The sequence below is a fragment of the Homo sapiens genome, chromosome X (assembly GCF_000001405.40).
Source record: "Homo sapiens chromosome X, GRCh38.p14 Primary Assembly".
NCBI classification, from domain to species: Eukaryota; Metazoa; Chordata; class Mammalia; order Primates; family Hominidae; genus Homo; species Homo sapiens.
This window is the reverse complement of record NC_000023.11, coordinates 129,870,898-129,888,019: the sequence shown is the minus strand read 5'-3', so window position 1 is coordinate 129,888,019 and position 17,122 is coordinate 129,870,898. Positions and strand designations below refer to the sequence as shown.

The 17,122-nt window shown below is 42.2% G+C and overlaps 1 pseudogene; it reads right to left on the bottom strand.

Moving 5' to 3' along the window:
• SALL4P2 (spalt like transcription factor 4 pseudogene 2) lies at positions 10,385–16,716 on the bottom strand (annotated as a pseudogene).

The following is a 17,122-nucleotide window of genomic DNA, read 5'->3' as shown; positions in this document are numbered from 1 at the left end:
TTGGTTCTTGTCTCTCTCTCTCCCTCTTTTTTTTCCCTAACAGAAATACCATTCAGAATCCTGTGTCTCTTTGGAGTACCCTCATCAATGTGGTTTTGTTTTATTTTGTTTTAGTCTGCAGGACAGAGTGAGACCGTGTCTCAAAAAAACAAAACAAAACAAAACAAAAACCACACACAAAACCGCATTGCTTTTTATATTTCAATTTCCGGTTGTTCACTGTTATTATATAGAAATGAAATTAATGTTTGTATATTGATTTCTTATCCTGTCATGTTTCTGAGGTCACTTATTAGTTCTAGTAGATTTTGGAGTTTCTAATTTTCTACATAAACAATCATGTCATCTGCAAAAAAAAAAAGTTTTACTTTTTCCTTTACAATCTTCATGGCATTCATTTTTTCCCCCTTATGTGATTGCATTGACTAGGACCTACCATACAATGTTTTAAATAGAGAGGTCGGAGTGGACATCCCTGTCTTGCTCCCCATCTTAGGAGAAGCATTCAGTCTTTCACTATTAAGTATGATTTAGCCATAGATTTTTTATTTTGGTAAATGTCCTATATCAGGTTGAGGAAATTTTCTTTCTATTCCTAGTTTGCGGAGAGTTATTAGGAATACATTTGGATTGTCAAATGCTCTTTTTGTATCTATGGAGAGATCACATGGTTTTTCTTCTTTAGTTTGTTAATATGTGAATTGCATTGATTGGGTTTCTAATGTTGAACCAAGTTTACATTCCTGGGATAAACCCCACTTGGTCATGATATATCATCCTTTTTATATATTGTTGAATTTGATTTGCTCAACTTTTGTTTAGAATTTATTTTTGTTTAGAATTTTTTTAACAGTTTTGTTGAAATACAATTCACATATCATACACTTCATTCATTTAAGGTGTACAATGTTTTTAAATGTAGTCACATGGTTGTGCAACCATCACCAAAATCAATTTTAGAACATTTTGTCCCCACTAAAAGAACCTCTGTACCAATTAGCTGTCCCTCCCCCATCTCCCCACCTCCAGCCATAAACAACCACTAATTTATTTTTCCTCTTTATAGATTGCCTGTTATTATAGATATTTCATATGAATGGAATCATAGTAAGTGGTATATTTCTTTTTTCTTTTCTTTTCTTTTTTTTTTTTTTGAGATGGATTCTCGCTCTGTTACCCAGGCTGGAGTGCAGTGGCATGATCACGGCTCACTGCAACCTCCGCCTCCCGGGCTCAAGCAATTTGCCTCCCTCAGCCTCCTGAGTACCTGGGATTATAGGTGCATGCCACCGTGCCCAGTTAATTTTTGTATTTTTAGTAGAGATGGGTTTTCACCATGTTGACCAGGCTGGTCTTGAACTCCTGGCCTCAAGTGATCCACCTGCCTTGGCCTCCCAAAGTGCTAGGATTACAGGTGTGAGCCACTGTGCTTAGCCTCAAAATTCTTTTTAATTTTTCCATTTGATATCTTCCTTGACCCAAGGGTTGTTTAGCAATATGTTATTTAATTTACAAATATTTCAATATTTACCACAAGTCTTTCTGTTATTGACTTTTAATTTAATTCAGTTGTGGTTAGAGAAAATGCTTTTTATTACTGGAATCCTTTACAGTCTATTGAGACTTGTTTTATGGCTCAAAGTATGGCGTATATTGGTAAATGGTCTATGTGCTTTTGAAAAATATGTATATTCTGTTGTGGTTGGTTGGAGTGTTCTATAAATGCCAATTAGGTGAAGTTGGTCAATATGTTGAGTTGGTATGACCCTCAGTCATATAGTCACAAGGAAGTAAAATCTGCCAACTGGGAGCCTGGAATGAGCCTGGAAATTATTCTTTCCTAGTTGAGTTTCCCCAGGAGAACAAAGCTATCAGCTAATACCTTGATTACAGCCTCCTTAGATTATGAGCAGGGGACTTAGCTAAGCTGTTCCAAGACTTCTGATCCATGTAAACTGAGAGATAATAAATATATGTTGTTTTAAGTTGCTAAGCTTGTGAGAATTTGTTATGCAGCAATACAAAACTAATACAGATGCATAAACATTTAAGATTATTAAGTCCTCTTGATGAATCGATCATGTTATCATTATAAAATAACCATTTTTATTTCTAGTAATATTCTTTCCTCTGAAGTCCACTTTGATATTAATATAGCTCCTAGAGCTTTCTTTTGATTGGTGTTAACATGACATGTCTTTTTTTCATGCTTTTTACTTTTTCCCTATTTGTGGCTTCATGTTAAAATTTGTTTCTTTCTTTCTTTTTTTTTTGACAGGGTTTCACTTTGTCACCAAGGCTAAGTGCAGTGGCATGATCATAGCTCACTGTAACCTTGAACTCCAGCAATCAAGCTATCCTTCTGCCTCTGTCCCCCGAAGTAGCTGGGACTATAGGCGCACCCCACCATGCCCGGCTAATTTTTCTTTTCTTTTCTTTTCTTTCTTTTTTTTTTTTTTTTTGTACATACAGGGTTTCACCACGTTGGCCAGGCTGGTCTCAACTCCTGAGCTCAAGCGATCTGCCCACCTTGGCTTCCCAAATTGCTGGGATTACAGGTGTAAACCATTGCACTTGGCTGTGTGCTTCTTATAGATAGTATATAGTTGGTTTTTACTTTTTTATCCAAGCTGATAATCTTTGCTTTTGATTGGAGTATTTAGGCCATTTTAATTTAATGTGATTATTTATATGATTAAGTTTATTTATTTTTTTATTTATTTTGAGGCAGGGTCTTGCTCTGTTGCTCAGGCTGGAGTGCAGTGTTGCAATCATAGCTCACTGCAGCCTCAGACTCCTGGGCCCCAGCAAACCTTTCACCTCAGCTTCCCAAGTAGCTGGGACTACAGGTGAGTGCCACCATGCCCAGCTAATTTTTAAATTTTTTGTAGGGATGGAGTCTGGCTCTGTTGCCCAGGCTGGTCTTGAACTCCTGGGCTCAAGCAATCCTCTGCCTCCGCCTGCCAAAGTGCTGGGATTATAGGTGTGAGCCTTGCCCAGCCTATGATTAAGTTTAAATGTATTATTTTTGTGATTGTTTTATATTTTCCCCACCTGTTGTGTTCCTTTTCTCTTTTCCTGCCTTTTTTTTTTGTATTGCATATTTGAGTATTTTTTATTATTCTATTTTATCTCCTTTTTTTCTTTTCTTTTTCTTTTTCTTTTTCTTTTCTTTTCTTTTTTTTTTTTTTTTTTTTTTTTTTTGAGACAGAGTCTTGCTCTGTCACCCAGGCTGGAGTGCAGTGGCACGATCTCAGCTCACTGCAACCTATTCCCCTCTGGGTTCAAGTGATTCTCGTGCCTCAGCCTCCTGAGTATCTGGGACTACAGGCGTGCGCTACCATGCCGGGGTAATTTTTGTATTTTTAGTAGAGATGGGATTTCGACATGTTGGCCAGGCTGGTCTCAAACTCCTGACCTCAAATGATCTGCCCACCTGGGCCTTGGAAAGTGCTGGGATTACAGGCATGAGCCAACGTGCCCGGCCTATCTCCATTTTTGATGGAGATAAAATAGATTTTGCCTGGCGCAGTGATGCGTGCCTGTGAGGCTGAGGCAGGAGGATAGCTTGACTCCAGGAGTTTGAGGCTATAGTACACTATGATTGTGCCTGTGAACTGTACTCCAGCCTGGGCAACGTAGTGAGACCCTGTCTCTAAAAATATTGTTTTTTTAGTGGAGATAAAATAGAATCAGAAAAAATACAAAAGGATTCCACTTACATGTGGTAATTAGAGTAGCCAAATTTATAGAGACAGAAAGTAGAATGGTGGTTTCCAGGAGCTGGGAGCAGAGGGAATGGAGAGTTACTGTTTGGTGGGTACAGAGTTTCAGTATGGGAAGATGAAAAACTCTGGAGATGGATGGTGGTGATGCTTGCACAACAATGTAAATGTTCTTAATGTCCCTGAACTATACACTTATAAATAGTTAAAAAGGTAGATTTTATGTTACATATGTTTCACCACATTTTTTAAAAATCCTCAACAAAATCAGAATAGAAGGTAAATTTCTCAAACTGATAAAGGGCACGAGAAAAGTCTACAGCTCACATCATAACATCATCATAACATCGCCGGTGAAAGTGAACACTTTCTTCCTAAGACTGGAAACAACTCAAGGATGTCTACTCTTGCCACTTGTGTTAAACACTGTCCTGGACATTCGAAACCAGTGCAATCAGAAAAGAAAGAAATAAAAGCCATTCAAGTTGGAAAGAAAGAAGTAAAACCAGCATTCTTTTCAGATGACGATCTTTAATGTAAAAAGTCAGATGGAATCTACAAAAAGGCATCTAGGCTAATAAGTGAGTTTATCAAGCATATAAGGTAAAAGTTAAATATAATAAATTAGGTATCTATATACTATCAGTGAAAATGTGAAAATGAGGTTAGGGAGACTGTTCTATTCACAGCAACATCAGACGGAATAAAATACTTAGAAATAAATTTAGCAAAAAATGTAGATATACACAAAATCTATAAAACATTGCTCAGGGAAATAAGAGATCTACGTAAATGGAGAGAAATTCCATCTTCATGAATTGTAAGACCCAATATTGCCAAGATGACAGTTTTCACCAAATTGATCTATAAATTAAACGAAATCCCAGCCAGGCATGGTGGTGCATGCCTGTAGTCCCAGCTACTCCAGAGGCTGAGGTGGGAGGATGGCTTGAGCCCAGGAGTTTGAGGCTGCAGTGAGCCATGATCATGCCACTGCACTCCAGCCTAGATGACAGAGTGAGACCACATCTCTAAAACTGAAAATAAAAAAATAAAAATTAAGCAAAATCCCTGTAAAGATCCTAGCAAGCATTCCTTTTTTTTTTGTAGAAATTGGCAAACTGCTCCTAAAATATGTACAGGATATGGACATACAAAGGACCCAGAATAACCAATTTTGAAAAGGAGCCAATGGGAGAATTTTCATTTCCATCTTTCAAACTTACTATATATATAACTCACAGTAATCAAGACAGTGAGATACTGACATGAGGATAGAAATATAATGGAGAGTCCATAAATTAATCCTTATATTATGGTCAGCTGATGGCTGACAAAGGTGCCAAGATAATTCAATGTGCAAATAACAGTCTTTTCAACAAATGGTGCTAGGATAACTGTGTTCCCACCAGTGATAAGTAAGTGATAAGTATGTGAGGTAACAGATATGTTAGTTACCTTGATTTAATCATTTCACAATGTATACATCTATCAAAACATCCTGTTGTATACCATGAATATGTACCATTTTTGTCAATTATAATATAATCAATTTTAAATTAATTAAAATGTTAACCTGAGTGCTGCTCTGAAGGAATTAATTTTCCAGATATAATTTAAGTCATGAGTCAGTTAACCTTAGTATATGGAGATTATAGGACTGACCTAGTCAGGTGAACCCTTTAAATGCAGAGAATTTTCTCTGGCTAGTACCAGAAGAGGTCATCAGAGATTCAAAGCACAAAAAGGATTTGATGCTCTATTGTTTATTTGATGGTAGTGGGGATCACTGTATCAAGGAAATGGAGAGTTCAGTTTTACAGCTTCATGGAACTGCATTTCTGTCAATAACTTGAATGAACTTGGAAGCAGATTCTGTTTTATGTTTGCAGGTAGATTCTTCCCTTGAACTTCCAGATGAGAGCCCAGCATGGCCAACATCTTGATTTTGGCTTTTTGAAACCTTAAGTAGAGAACCTGCTTGGTCTTATGACCTAGAGAGCTGTGAGATAATAAATGGGTATTGTTTTAAGCTACTAAATTTGTGATAATTTGTTACACAGCAATAGAAAACTAATACATTGGTATAGCCGGCTCACTCATGGTTATTGCATGGTATATTATTTTCCATCCTTTCAACCTATTTGTAGTATATATTGAATCTGAAGTTTCTGCTCTAGACAGCATATAGTTAGATCCTGTTTTTAAATTCAGTCTGATAATCCTTTACTTTTTTTTTGAGACAGGATCTCACTTTGTCGCCCAGGCTGGAGTGCAGTGGCGTGAACATGGCTCACTGCAGCCTCGACCTCCCTGGCTCAAGCGATCCTCCTGCCTCAGCCACAGAAGTAGCTGGAACTAAAGGCATGCGCCACCACGCATGGTTAATTTTTTTGTATTTTTTTTTTTGTAGAGACAGCGTTTTGCTATGTTGCCCAGCCTGGTCTCAAACTCCTGAGCTCAAGCGATCTGCCTTGGTTTCCCAAAGTGCTGGGATTACAGGCATAAGCCACCATGCCACCACACCCAGTCTATCCCTTACTTTTGAGTGTAGTACTTATTTCATTTACATTTACTATAATACTGATTGTAATATAAGTAATATAATTATTATTTTGGAGAGAAAAACATGCAAAATTGTTTTCCCAACAGACAAGACAGCATCAGCAGGTACAACTACAGGGGATTCTCCATAGATCGTACACTCACAAAGCATCATTAGTTCAACAGTGGAAAAACCACTGCTGTGTTCTCTGTAGCATATCCACTTAGCGTAAAGAGGTACTATTATTGTGTTCACTTACAATTCCAGAAGGAAAGGCACAACTGGACAAAAAACATTTTGTATCCTAAAGTCAGGTGCAGTAACTAAGAGACAAAACTTTGGGTAACAGTCTTGATGCACATTTCAGTAAGGGCTTTTTACTTAGAGGGGAATGATTTCTCCACCCACAAGTTAGGTTTAATTGTTAGAGCAACATTTCATTGTTTGCTCAGTATTATTACATATACAAAAGGGGATTTGAAAAAAGGAATCACGAAAACATCTTACATGTCCAGCTGTTCCCACCAATACATCAACTCTTATGAAGCAGGAGAATAGGGTCTGGAGGCAGGGAACCCAAGTCCGGTTCATGCTGACTTCCTAGAACTAAATTGAAAGGGAAACCCCAACTTTCCACACCTAAATAACAAAAGGACCAGAGACTATTCCCTCTGCAAACCTCCACCTTTTCTGCCTGGCAGATGGGAAATTGAAAGTACCTCTGACCGGTTGCAAAAACCAATCACAGGTTTGCATAAGAGTGTAATTTTGTAACTTCGAAATTGGTTGCAGACAGCAACAAATCAGAGTGATTGTGGGCCACCACTTCATTTACATGAGGTGAACACCAAGTGGCCAATGGGAATGGGAAACCTCTAGGGGGTATTTGGACCCAAGAAGATTCTGTATCTGGGCCCTTGAGCCGCTGCTCAGGTCCGCTCCCACACTGTGGAGTATACTTCCATTTTCAATAAATCTGCTTTTGTTGCTTCATTCTTTCCTTGCTTTGTCTGTTTTGTCCAATACGACAAGAACCTGGACACCCTCCACCAGTAACACTTAGGTTTAAGACAGCAGCCAGGCATGGTGGCTTACACCTGTAAACCCAGCACTTTGGGAGGACAAGGCCAGTGGATCACCTGAGGTCAGGAGTTTGAAACCAGCCTGGCCAACATAGAGAAACCCCATCTGTACTAAAAATACAAAAAATTAGCCGGGCATGGTGGCACATGCCTGTAGTCTCAGCTACTTGGGAGGCTGAGGCAGGAGAATCCCTTGAACCTGGGAAGCGGAGGTTGCAGTGAGCTGAGATTGTGCCACTGTACTCCAGCCTGGGTGACAGAGTGAGACTCCGTCTCAAAAACAAACAAACAAACAAACAAAAAGACAGGGCCTGGGAATACTTCAGTGGTCATAAAATAGGAAAATAGACACTATGGCTACAAAAAAAGTGAAATATTTAAACTAAAGCTTTCATACCCAGGATTTGCCTGTTCCAACTTTGTAGCCTTCATGCAATACTCAGGGCAAAAAATCTGCATAATTACTTGGCATAAGTTGCACCAACTATATTTTTTAAAAATTAGTATGTGACCCTGTGAAAGGAAACACTCCTTCCCATGAGTTTCTCCTCTGGAATGAAAATCCAGTTCTTCAACAGAGTGGGCACTGGTGAACTAAATTAAGTCACCTGAGATTCCTTGCTCAGTGGCCCACCTCTTCTGGTGTTCAGGAAGGCAAAGGGAAGTGTGTGGAATACATTTGAACTCTTGTGGCTGCAACTGAGCTGTTTTTTAAATAAGCAGACATTGACTCCCTAACAACTAACATAAGTCCATTTGAGGACATCCTATTTAAAGTTCTAAAGTTAAAGGAGTCCAGACACAGTGGCTCACCCCTGTAATCCAGCACTTTGGGAGGCTGAGGTGGGGCAAATCACTTGAGTCCAGGAGTTTGAGACCAGCCTGGCCAACATGGTGAAACTGAAACCCCGTCTCTACTAAAAATACAAAAATTAGCTGGGTGTGGTGGTGGGTACCTGTAATCCCAGCTACTTGGGAGGCTGAGGCAGGAGAATCCCTTGACCCCCAGAGGTGGAAGTTGCAGTGAGCCGAGATTGCGCCCTTGCACTCCAGCCTCCTGGGTGACAGCGAGACTCCATCTAGAAAACAAAAAAAGTTGGAGGAATTAGGCCAGGTGCGGTGGCTCACGCCTGTAATCCCAGCACTTTGGGAGGCCGAGGCAGGTGGATCACGAGGTCAGGAGATCGAGACCATCTTGGCTAACACGGTGAAACCCCCTCTCTACTAAAAAAATACAAAAAAATTAGCCGGGCGCCTGTGGTCCCAGCTACTGGGGAGGCTGAGGCAGGAGAATGGCGTGAACCTGGGAGGCGGAGCTTGCAGTGAGCTGAGATAGCGCCACTGCACTCCCGCCTGGGTGAAAAGAGCGAGACTCCGTCTTAAAAAAAAAAAAATGTTGGAGGAATTTGTAATTCTATAATCTTTTTTTTTGCTTTATTTTTGAAAGTACTTTCAAAAAACAAAAGATGGGTACAGGGTTAGGAGACATACAAAACAGGTTCCTAAATAGATGATAACCTTGTCCATTTACTTGCAGACAGTTATCATGGAAGTATACAGTACTCCTCCTCACCCCATTAATCTAAGTAGTTGTCTTTTCCACTGTGGTTCAATAAGTTCAAACTGTTCCACCTTGAAATAGGCGACAGTCTTGGGAAGTAGTTACTGTAGGCTGTACAGAATTTCTATGTATATAGTTTGTTGGAAGTAACAAAGCTACTTTCAAGACTTGCTTCTTTCCAAAATTAAAAAATAATTATAGTCTGTATTTGTTTTGGTATAGATATTTTCTTTTTTTGATTTTTTTGTTTTTATGTTTTGCAAAGCAGCATAACAATTGTGATTGTAGAACTGCCTGAGATTGCCATCTGTAAACATCATTTGCATATCAGTAAGAATAAGGAAAACGGGAGGAGGAGATGGGTTTTTTTTTTAAAAAAAAGAAAACAAATAATCCCATTAAAAAGTGGGCAAAGGACATGAATAGACATTTCTCAAAAGAAGACAAGTGGCCAACGGACATGAAAAAATGCTCAACATCGCTAATCATCAGAGATGTGCAAATTAAAACCACAATGATAAACCATCTTACACTAGTCAGATGGCTATTATTAAAAAGAGAAAAACTAACAGATGTTAGTGAGGATGGGGAGAAAAGGGAATGAACTCTTATACACTGTTGGTGGGAATGTAAATTAGTGTAACCTCTATGGAAAACTGTATGGAGATTTCTCAAAGAACGAAAAATGCAACTACTTTCCATCCAGCAATCCCACTACCGGGTATCTACCCAAAGAAAAATAAATCATTATATCAAAAAGACACCTGCAATAGTATGTTTATCACAGCACTATTCACAATAGCGAAGATAAGGAATCAACCTAAGTGTCCATCAACGGAGGATTAGATAAAGAAACTGTGGTATGTATACATCATGGAATACTATGCAGCCATAAAAAAATGCAATCATGTCTTTTGCAGCAACATGGATGGAACTGGAGGCCATTAACTTTGGTGAAACAAGCCAGGCACAGAAAGACAAATATCACATGTTCTCACTTATAAGTGGGAGCTAAATAAAGTGTACACACGGAGGTAGTGTGTGGAATGATAGACAACAGAGACTTGGAAGGGTAAGGCAAGGGGTGGATAATGAGTGATTACTTAAGGGGTACATTGTAGGTTATTTGGGTGATCAATACCCTAAAAGCCCTGACTTCACCACTACACAATCTATGCAGGTAACAAAATTACACTTGCACCCCATAAATTTATACAAATAAAAAATAATAAAAGAATAAAAAGCACAGTCTAGACTAGGGGTGTCCAATCTTTTGGCTTCCCTGGGCCACCTTGGAAGAAGAATTGTCTTGGGCCACACATAAAATACACGAATACTAACAATAGCCGATGAGCTTAAAAAAAAAATCACAAAAAAATCTCAGAATGTTTTAAGAAACTTCACGAATTTGTGTTGGGCCACATTCAAAGCCGCCCTGGGCTGCATGTGGCCTGCGGGCTGAGGGTTGAACAAGCATGGTCTAGACATTTCACTCTGTCTACATTTCTTCTTCCAGGCAAGTTCCCCTTTAGCTTAGCTGACCACAATCTTGTTTTCTTCCAGGAAGTGAGGGAACCAATGTGTGGGAACAGTCTCAGTAGCACCTGGTTTTTCCACATTGGCACTGATACCTGACTGGGAGCCATCCATCTTGGACTCAGCAGTGTTATTCACAGCAGAGTTGGCCCCCACAGAAACTGGGAGGGTGGGAACACCACCACTCTGGGTCATAGAGATCTCGCTAGTCTTCATGGCAAGACCACTGTTGAGCATGTTGGTATATTGGTTCCACCACCTTCACTGAAGGGGCCAGGATTTCCAGTAAACATTTCTGAGATTCTTTCCATTCATACCTAATTAAGCCATAGTGTTCTCAATGGCTAGCTTCCTTCTCTGGTGTGCTGAGTTATTGTTTGCTCCATGAGTCATACAGTGGACCTTCAAGTTGCCTTTGGTGGTAAAAGCTTGCCCATGTATGCTGCACACAAAAGGCTATTCTCTAGTGTGAGTCCACTTGTGAATCTGAAGAGCACTAGTGGATAAGAAGTTCTTCTCACACTGTGTGCAGCTGTGTTGCTTGGCCTGTCAGTGTGGCTGGGCCGCTAACACCAGGGACATGATTGAGGATCCAACAAATGTGCCAGTGAAAGGGGAGAGTTCCCTGGCCCCCCTCACAGGACGTGTGATGGGTGTGGCTTGTCTGTTTGGTCGCTGCTCAAACCTCTTACAGGAGGGGGAGTACACAGACAGACAGGTGCAGGAGCCCAAGTGGGCGTGTGTTACAGTGCACTCTTTTAGCCTTGCCATCTGCAGATGGCTTAAGTGTTAATCAGCTCAGTGGACCCTCTGCCTTTCTGCAAAGGCAGAGGGCCAGTGTGACAGTTTTCTGTATCCTGAGCTGTTGTCCAGAATCCTGGAAGAATCAGGTCACACATGGACTTGAAGGATGGAGAATGCAGGGTTTTATTGGGTGGTGGAGGTGGCTCTCAGTGGGATAGATGAGGAGCTGGACAGGGGATGGAGTGGGAAGATGATCTTCCCTTGCAGTTTGGCCATCTGGTGGCTGATTCTCTGACCACCCCCAGCAAAACTCCTGACGTTTCTTCTCTTCTCTCCTGTGCCGTGCCATTCTGCCATTTGTCTGCTCATCTCCTCATCTCCTGCTTCTGGAGCCTCGGGTTTGGGGTTTATATGGGTACAGGATGGGGGCGTGATGGGCCAAAAGGCAACATTTTCGGCACAAAAACAGGAATGCCTGTTCTCACTTAGGGCTGTGGATATCCAGGCTTGAGGGTGGGGCCTTTGCTGGGGAACTGCCCTCTTCTGTCCAGTATTTCCCTGTCTCCTATTTGTATTACCAGGAACTTCAACTTTTCATTTTTATTTTTTAGAGACAGGGTCTCTCCTTTTCGCACAGGCTGGAGTGCAGTGGCACAGTCATAGTTTACCACAACCTTGAACTCCTGGGCTCAAGTGATCCTCCTGCCCCAGCCTCATTAGTAGCTGGAATTACAAGCGCTAGCCACCAAACCTGTTAAAACTTGAACTTTGACATATGTTGACTGGGCTCAGAAAAACGTTGATGGGAGACAGCCCATCTCAGTGTGGCTGTTCTTGGGGTGCTCAGCTTTGCTCCCAGCATCTGGAGACTTTGTCATAATGCTTTCTGCTTGGCTAGTTGCTAGGGAGCGTGCCTGGAAGGATGTGGTTTCCACAGCATCTGGAGTTTGGCTAATAGTCCTGGTGTCCCATCAGTGAGAATGAGTCATTAAACTGTTGCTCTCCACTGAATCGTTTTTCAGCTGCTCTGCCTCTGCAGGCCAGAAGGAACAGGACCCACTTTCCTGGTGACTGCTAGGGAAGCCTTTGTGGCAAACCCTAGGGTGGGTTATATTAAGTGGATGCTAAGAAGAGGTGTGAGGACCTTTGAGTAGCTACTGGGGGCATCCTGGGAGCTGACTTTATCCACAGTGGTGTCTTCTTTCAACATCATCATGGCAGATGGCACTTGTATTACCATTCTCACTGACCATCATTGGCTCAGGACCCCTAAAATCACAGGGATTCTCTGGCGGGGACATGCTGGGAATCTGAGTGCCCATGTTCATCCAAATATGTTGTTGCAACATGACCACACTGGCAAATTTCTTTTGACTAATGGGGTATGTACTTATGGATGAGTTGGTTCCATGAACCCTGAGAAGTGTCTTTACGTTGCCTTTGGTAGAAAAAGCTTGTCCACAGATTTCACATAGGATGGGTCTCTCCCCAATGTGGGTGTGGTAATGTATGATTTTTTTCCAAGTGAGAGCAAATTTATTAAAGTAAAGGAATAAAAGAATGGCTACTCCATAGGCAGAGCAGCCCTGAGGGCTGCTGGTTGGCTATTTTTGTGGTTATTTCTTGACTACATGCTAAACAAGTGGCGGGTTTTTCATGAGTTTTCCGGGAAAGTGGTGGGCAACTCCTGGAACGGACGGTTCCTCCACCTTTTAGACCATAAATGGTAACTTCCTGACATTGCCTTGGCATTTGTAAACTGTCATGGTGCTGGTGGGAGTGTCTTTTAGCATACTAATGTATTATAATTAGCATATAATGAGCAGTGAGGATGACCAGAGGTTACTTTCCTCACCATCTTCGTTTGGGTGGGATTTGGTCTGCTTCTTTACCACATGTTGTTTTATCAGCAAGGTCTTTGTGACCTGTATCTTGTGCCAACCTCCTATCTCATCCTGTGACTTAGAATGCTTAACCTCCTGGGAATGCAGCCCAGTAGGTCTCAGCCTCATTTTACCCAGCCCCTATTCAGGATGGAGGCACTCTGGTTTGAACACCTCTGACATATTTCTCCCCTGCGTTTTACAAAGGAATCCTTAATCTTTTATTATTATTATTATTTTATTTATTTATTTATTTATTTTTTTGAGATGGAGGCTTGCTCTGTCACCCAGGCTGGAGTGCAGTGGCGCGATCTTGGCCCTCTGCAACCTTCCCCTCCCGAGTTCAAGCGATTCTCCTGCCTCAGCCTGCCAGGTAGCTGGGACTACAGGTGCGTGCCACCATGCCTGGCTAATTTTTGTATTTTTAGTAGAGATGGGGTTTTGCCATGTTGGCCAGGCTGGTGTCAAACTCGTGACCTCAGGTGATTCACCCGCCTCGGCCTCCGAAAGTGCTGGGATTACAGGTGTGAGCCTCCGCATCTGGCCAGGAACCCTTAATCTTAAGGGTTATAGAGGGACAAAGATCCATCTTCCGTAACTTCTTCAGGCTGAATTGGGCAATGATACTCCTGCCTACCTATTAGGGTCTCTTGTATTCAGGGTAGAGAGGAGCTCAGTCAGAAAGTGTAAGTATGGTGAGGGCCATCCATAACTCTTGAGTTCTGACAAAAGCTGATATCTGTAGTAAGTATTCAATTTAAGAAAATGTTGAGTAAGCTTATCCTGCATTCCTACACAAAGAGTACAGCAGCAATATTTTCCACAACAGTAAAACAAAGTAAGTAAAATTATTCCAAGTGAACTGAATAAGAAAGCTTTCCACGAACTGGGCAATTGTTGAAACCAAGCTGATATGGTGTCGCTAGCTGATTCTAATATGTGCCCAGAATTAGAATACTGACCCAGATTTTTACATTACCCATCCCTCTTGTTTCTTCTGAGCAGCAGCCAGAGATCACTGGTTGGTTCACAGGAATAAGCACGGTTAGTCTAAATTGCAGGAAAAAAAACCCTTAAAAACAACGAATGAGACTATAATTTAATAACAGGCGTACCATCGTTCTTGAAACAATTTTTCTCTCTCCAGTCTCCCATTTTTACTAAAGACAAATCATGGTAAGACTGATTTGCTTTATTATACTTGGCCTGATTATGTGTATAAAGTGCAGCAATAATAATAATAATTGTTAGATTTTTTTTTTCTTGAGATGGAGTCTCACTGTGTCGCCTAGGCTGGAGTGCAGTGGCATGATCTTGGCTCACTGCAACCTTCACCTCCTGAGTTCAAGCGATTCTCATGCCTCAACCTTCCAAGTAGCTGGGATTACAGGCACACGCTGCCATGCCCAGCTAATTTTTCTATTTTTAGTAGAGACAGGGTCTCACCATACCAGCCTGGCTGGTCTTGAACTCCTGACCTCAAGTGATCCGCCTGCCTTGACTTCAAGAATAATTATTTTTAACATAGGCTTTTAAAATTGTCTTTGACGGAACTCTGTTCCTTAAGAAATCTTAGATAATACTTTTTTTTTTTTTTTGAGGTGGAGTCTTGCTCTGTTGCCCAGGCTGGAGTGCAGTGGCACAATCTCAGCTCACTGCAACCTCTGCCCCCTGGGTTCAAGCAATTCTCCCGCCTCAGCCTCCCGAGTAGCTGGGACTACAGGCATGTGCCACCATGCCCGGCTAATTTTTTGTATTTTTTTAGTAGAGATGGGGTTTCACAGTGTTAGCCAGGATGGTCTCAATCTCCTGACCTCGTTATCTGCCCGCCTCGGCCTCCCAAAGTGCTGGGATTACAGGCGTGAGCCACCGTGCCCGGCCAGATAAGACTTTTTTAAAGCTGAACCCAGCCATGGGTTTGTACCATCAAATACCTAAATTTCCTCTTCTCTTGAGGTCCCAGGATAACTTGGGGCTCCTGGGCCTGTTAGAAAGCAACATTCTTTACTTACCGATCAGGAAACCTGTACAGGGACTGTGTAGACAAGGTATGGAGGCCAGTTTTCCCAAGGGAGGTAATGCATTGTGAAGGAACTTTGGCAGCTTAACACTCGGTGGCAAATGAGACATTCACTGGGGTCAGAAGTGGCCTTGTTGCTGTTCTCTACCAGCTGCTGCAATTTCATGGTCTCTGACCCTGGCTTGGTGGTCCCACTCCCTTGAAAGCCACCAACCCTTGGGGAATTATGGTTTGGCACCACCCCAGGGAGTGTGGGTCCACCCTTACTTTCTGGAGAAGGCCCAACAATGAGCCACCCATGTGGTCATTGGGGTTAACCCCCGAAGAAAGATTTTGTGATAGTTCTATGGAGGGGGTCCTTGTTACAAGGACAAGTTTGCTGTCTAAAGAGAGACTGGATTCATCTATGGGGACAGGTACAGGGAGTGCATGGGGTGCCATTGCCTACCACCATTTTGTTCTGGAACTTGGCAAACAGCTGGGGGTTTGCCTTCACCTGGGGATATTGATTAAAGTATACCTTGAGGTTACCCTTGGTGGTGAAGCCATGACCACACACAGAGAACATGAAGGGTCTCTCTCCAGTATGCATGTGGGGATAGATCTGCAAGGAGCTACCAGTCTCCCAAACCTTGCTACAGTTCTTACAGTTGTGCTTGTAGAGGATGGCCTCGTCTTTGGGTTTGACACACATCTCAGATGTTTGGTGGCTTATCTTTCTCTTTCTTGGATGGGTATAATGCCACAGTAGAGAAAGGACTCTGGAAGAGCACAGAACCCAAGCCTGAGGTAGCAAAGCACTTGGGAGCTGAGACACAATATTCAGGAGCACCCGTGTCCTATCCAGCTTCAGGGTGAAGGGTGTCAGCCATGGGGTCACAGAGCTGGCAGCAGAAGGGATGCTGGTGAGATAGCTTGGCTTGTTTAAGGTGTCCAGAGACAGACCTTGGCTTCCAGCTTTCTGGCTGAGCAAAGCCACAGCTACAGAAACTTGCTTGGACATGTGGCTATCTAAGGTCTTCAGGGTATTAGCCTGAGTGGAGAGTGTGGGAGGCCCACGAGTTCACTTGAATGCAAATCTGCTCAGTGAGCTAGATCTGCTGTCGTTGAAAAGATGCTGTTGGTGCTGGGCAGAGGGGCCAGCAGCACATATGAGCTTCACTGATTTACCACTCCCTTGTCTCCTTGTAATGCCTGAAGAGTCACATTAATATTGGCCACTTTGCCTTTGGGTAAATAGCTTATGTTCTGGAGTGTGGATGGTAGGGCAGTCTCTGTCTTTAAGTGCAAGAGAGACTCTGCGCCCAGCTTCTCCTTTATGTACCCTTAGCTGCCACCATTTTCCTTGGGACTGTCGCTGCTTGAACTGGGTGGCTGGTGGCTTGGTACAGCTGCACAAAAGTCTTCTGAAGGCACTGACTCCTCGCTGTCATTCATGGTGAGGACAGGTGGATTTTTAGTGCGATTTTTTCTTATGTTCCAAGAACTCAGAGATGCTAAAGAGTTCTGCACAGCATTTCTTAGAGATGTGAGTTTCCTACCCATGAAGCTGCTTTACCATCACTTTGTCCTCATTCACTTCATCACCATTCCCTGGGTGGTTCATTGGAGCACCTGGCTTGTTAAGATGATGGCTTGGAAAAGGGTGAAAATAGAGATGTGGAGAAATGGATATAGGTTGGGAGGTAGGGGAAAGGAGGGCTAGAGAGAAACATAGAACACTAATATGTCTTCATCTTGCAAAGTAAGCCGTTAAGGAGATACTATCTATGGTTGATTAAACAGAAAATATAAGTGGATGTATGTTATTTAAAGTGAAAAAGATATCTATTAGAGGAAATAAAAATAATGCTACCACTTTATTAGAAGGGGTGGATGGAAGGTAGGAATGGTGGAATTGAGCTTAATCCTCATCTCTGGCTGGGCATGGTGGCTCACACCTGTAATCCCAGCACTTTGGGAGGCTGAGGTGGGCAGATCCCTTGAGCCCAGGAGTTTGAGATCAGCCTAGGCAACTGATGAAACC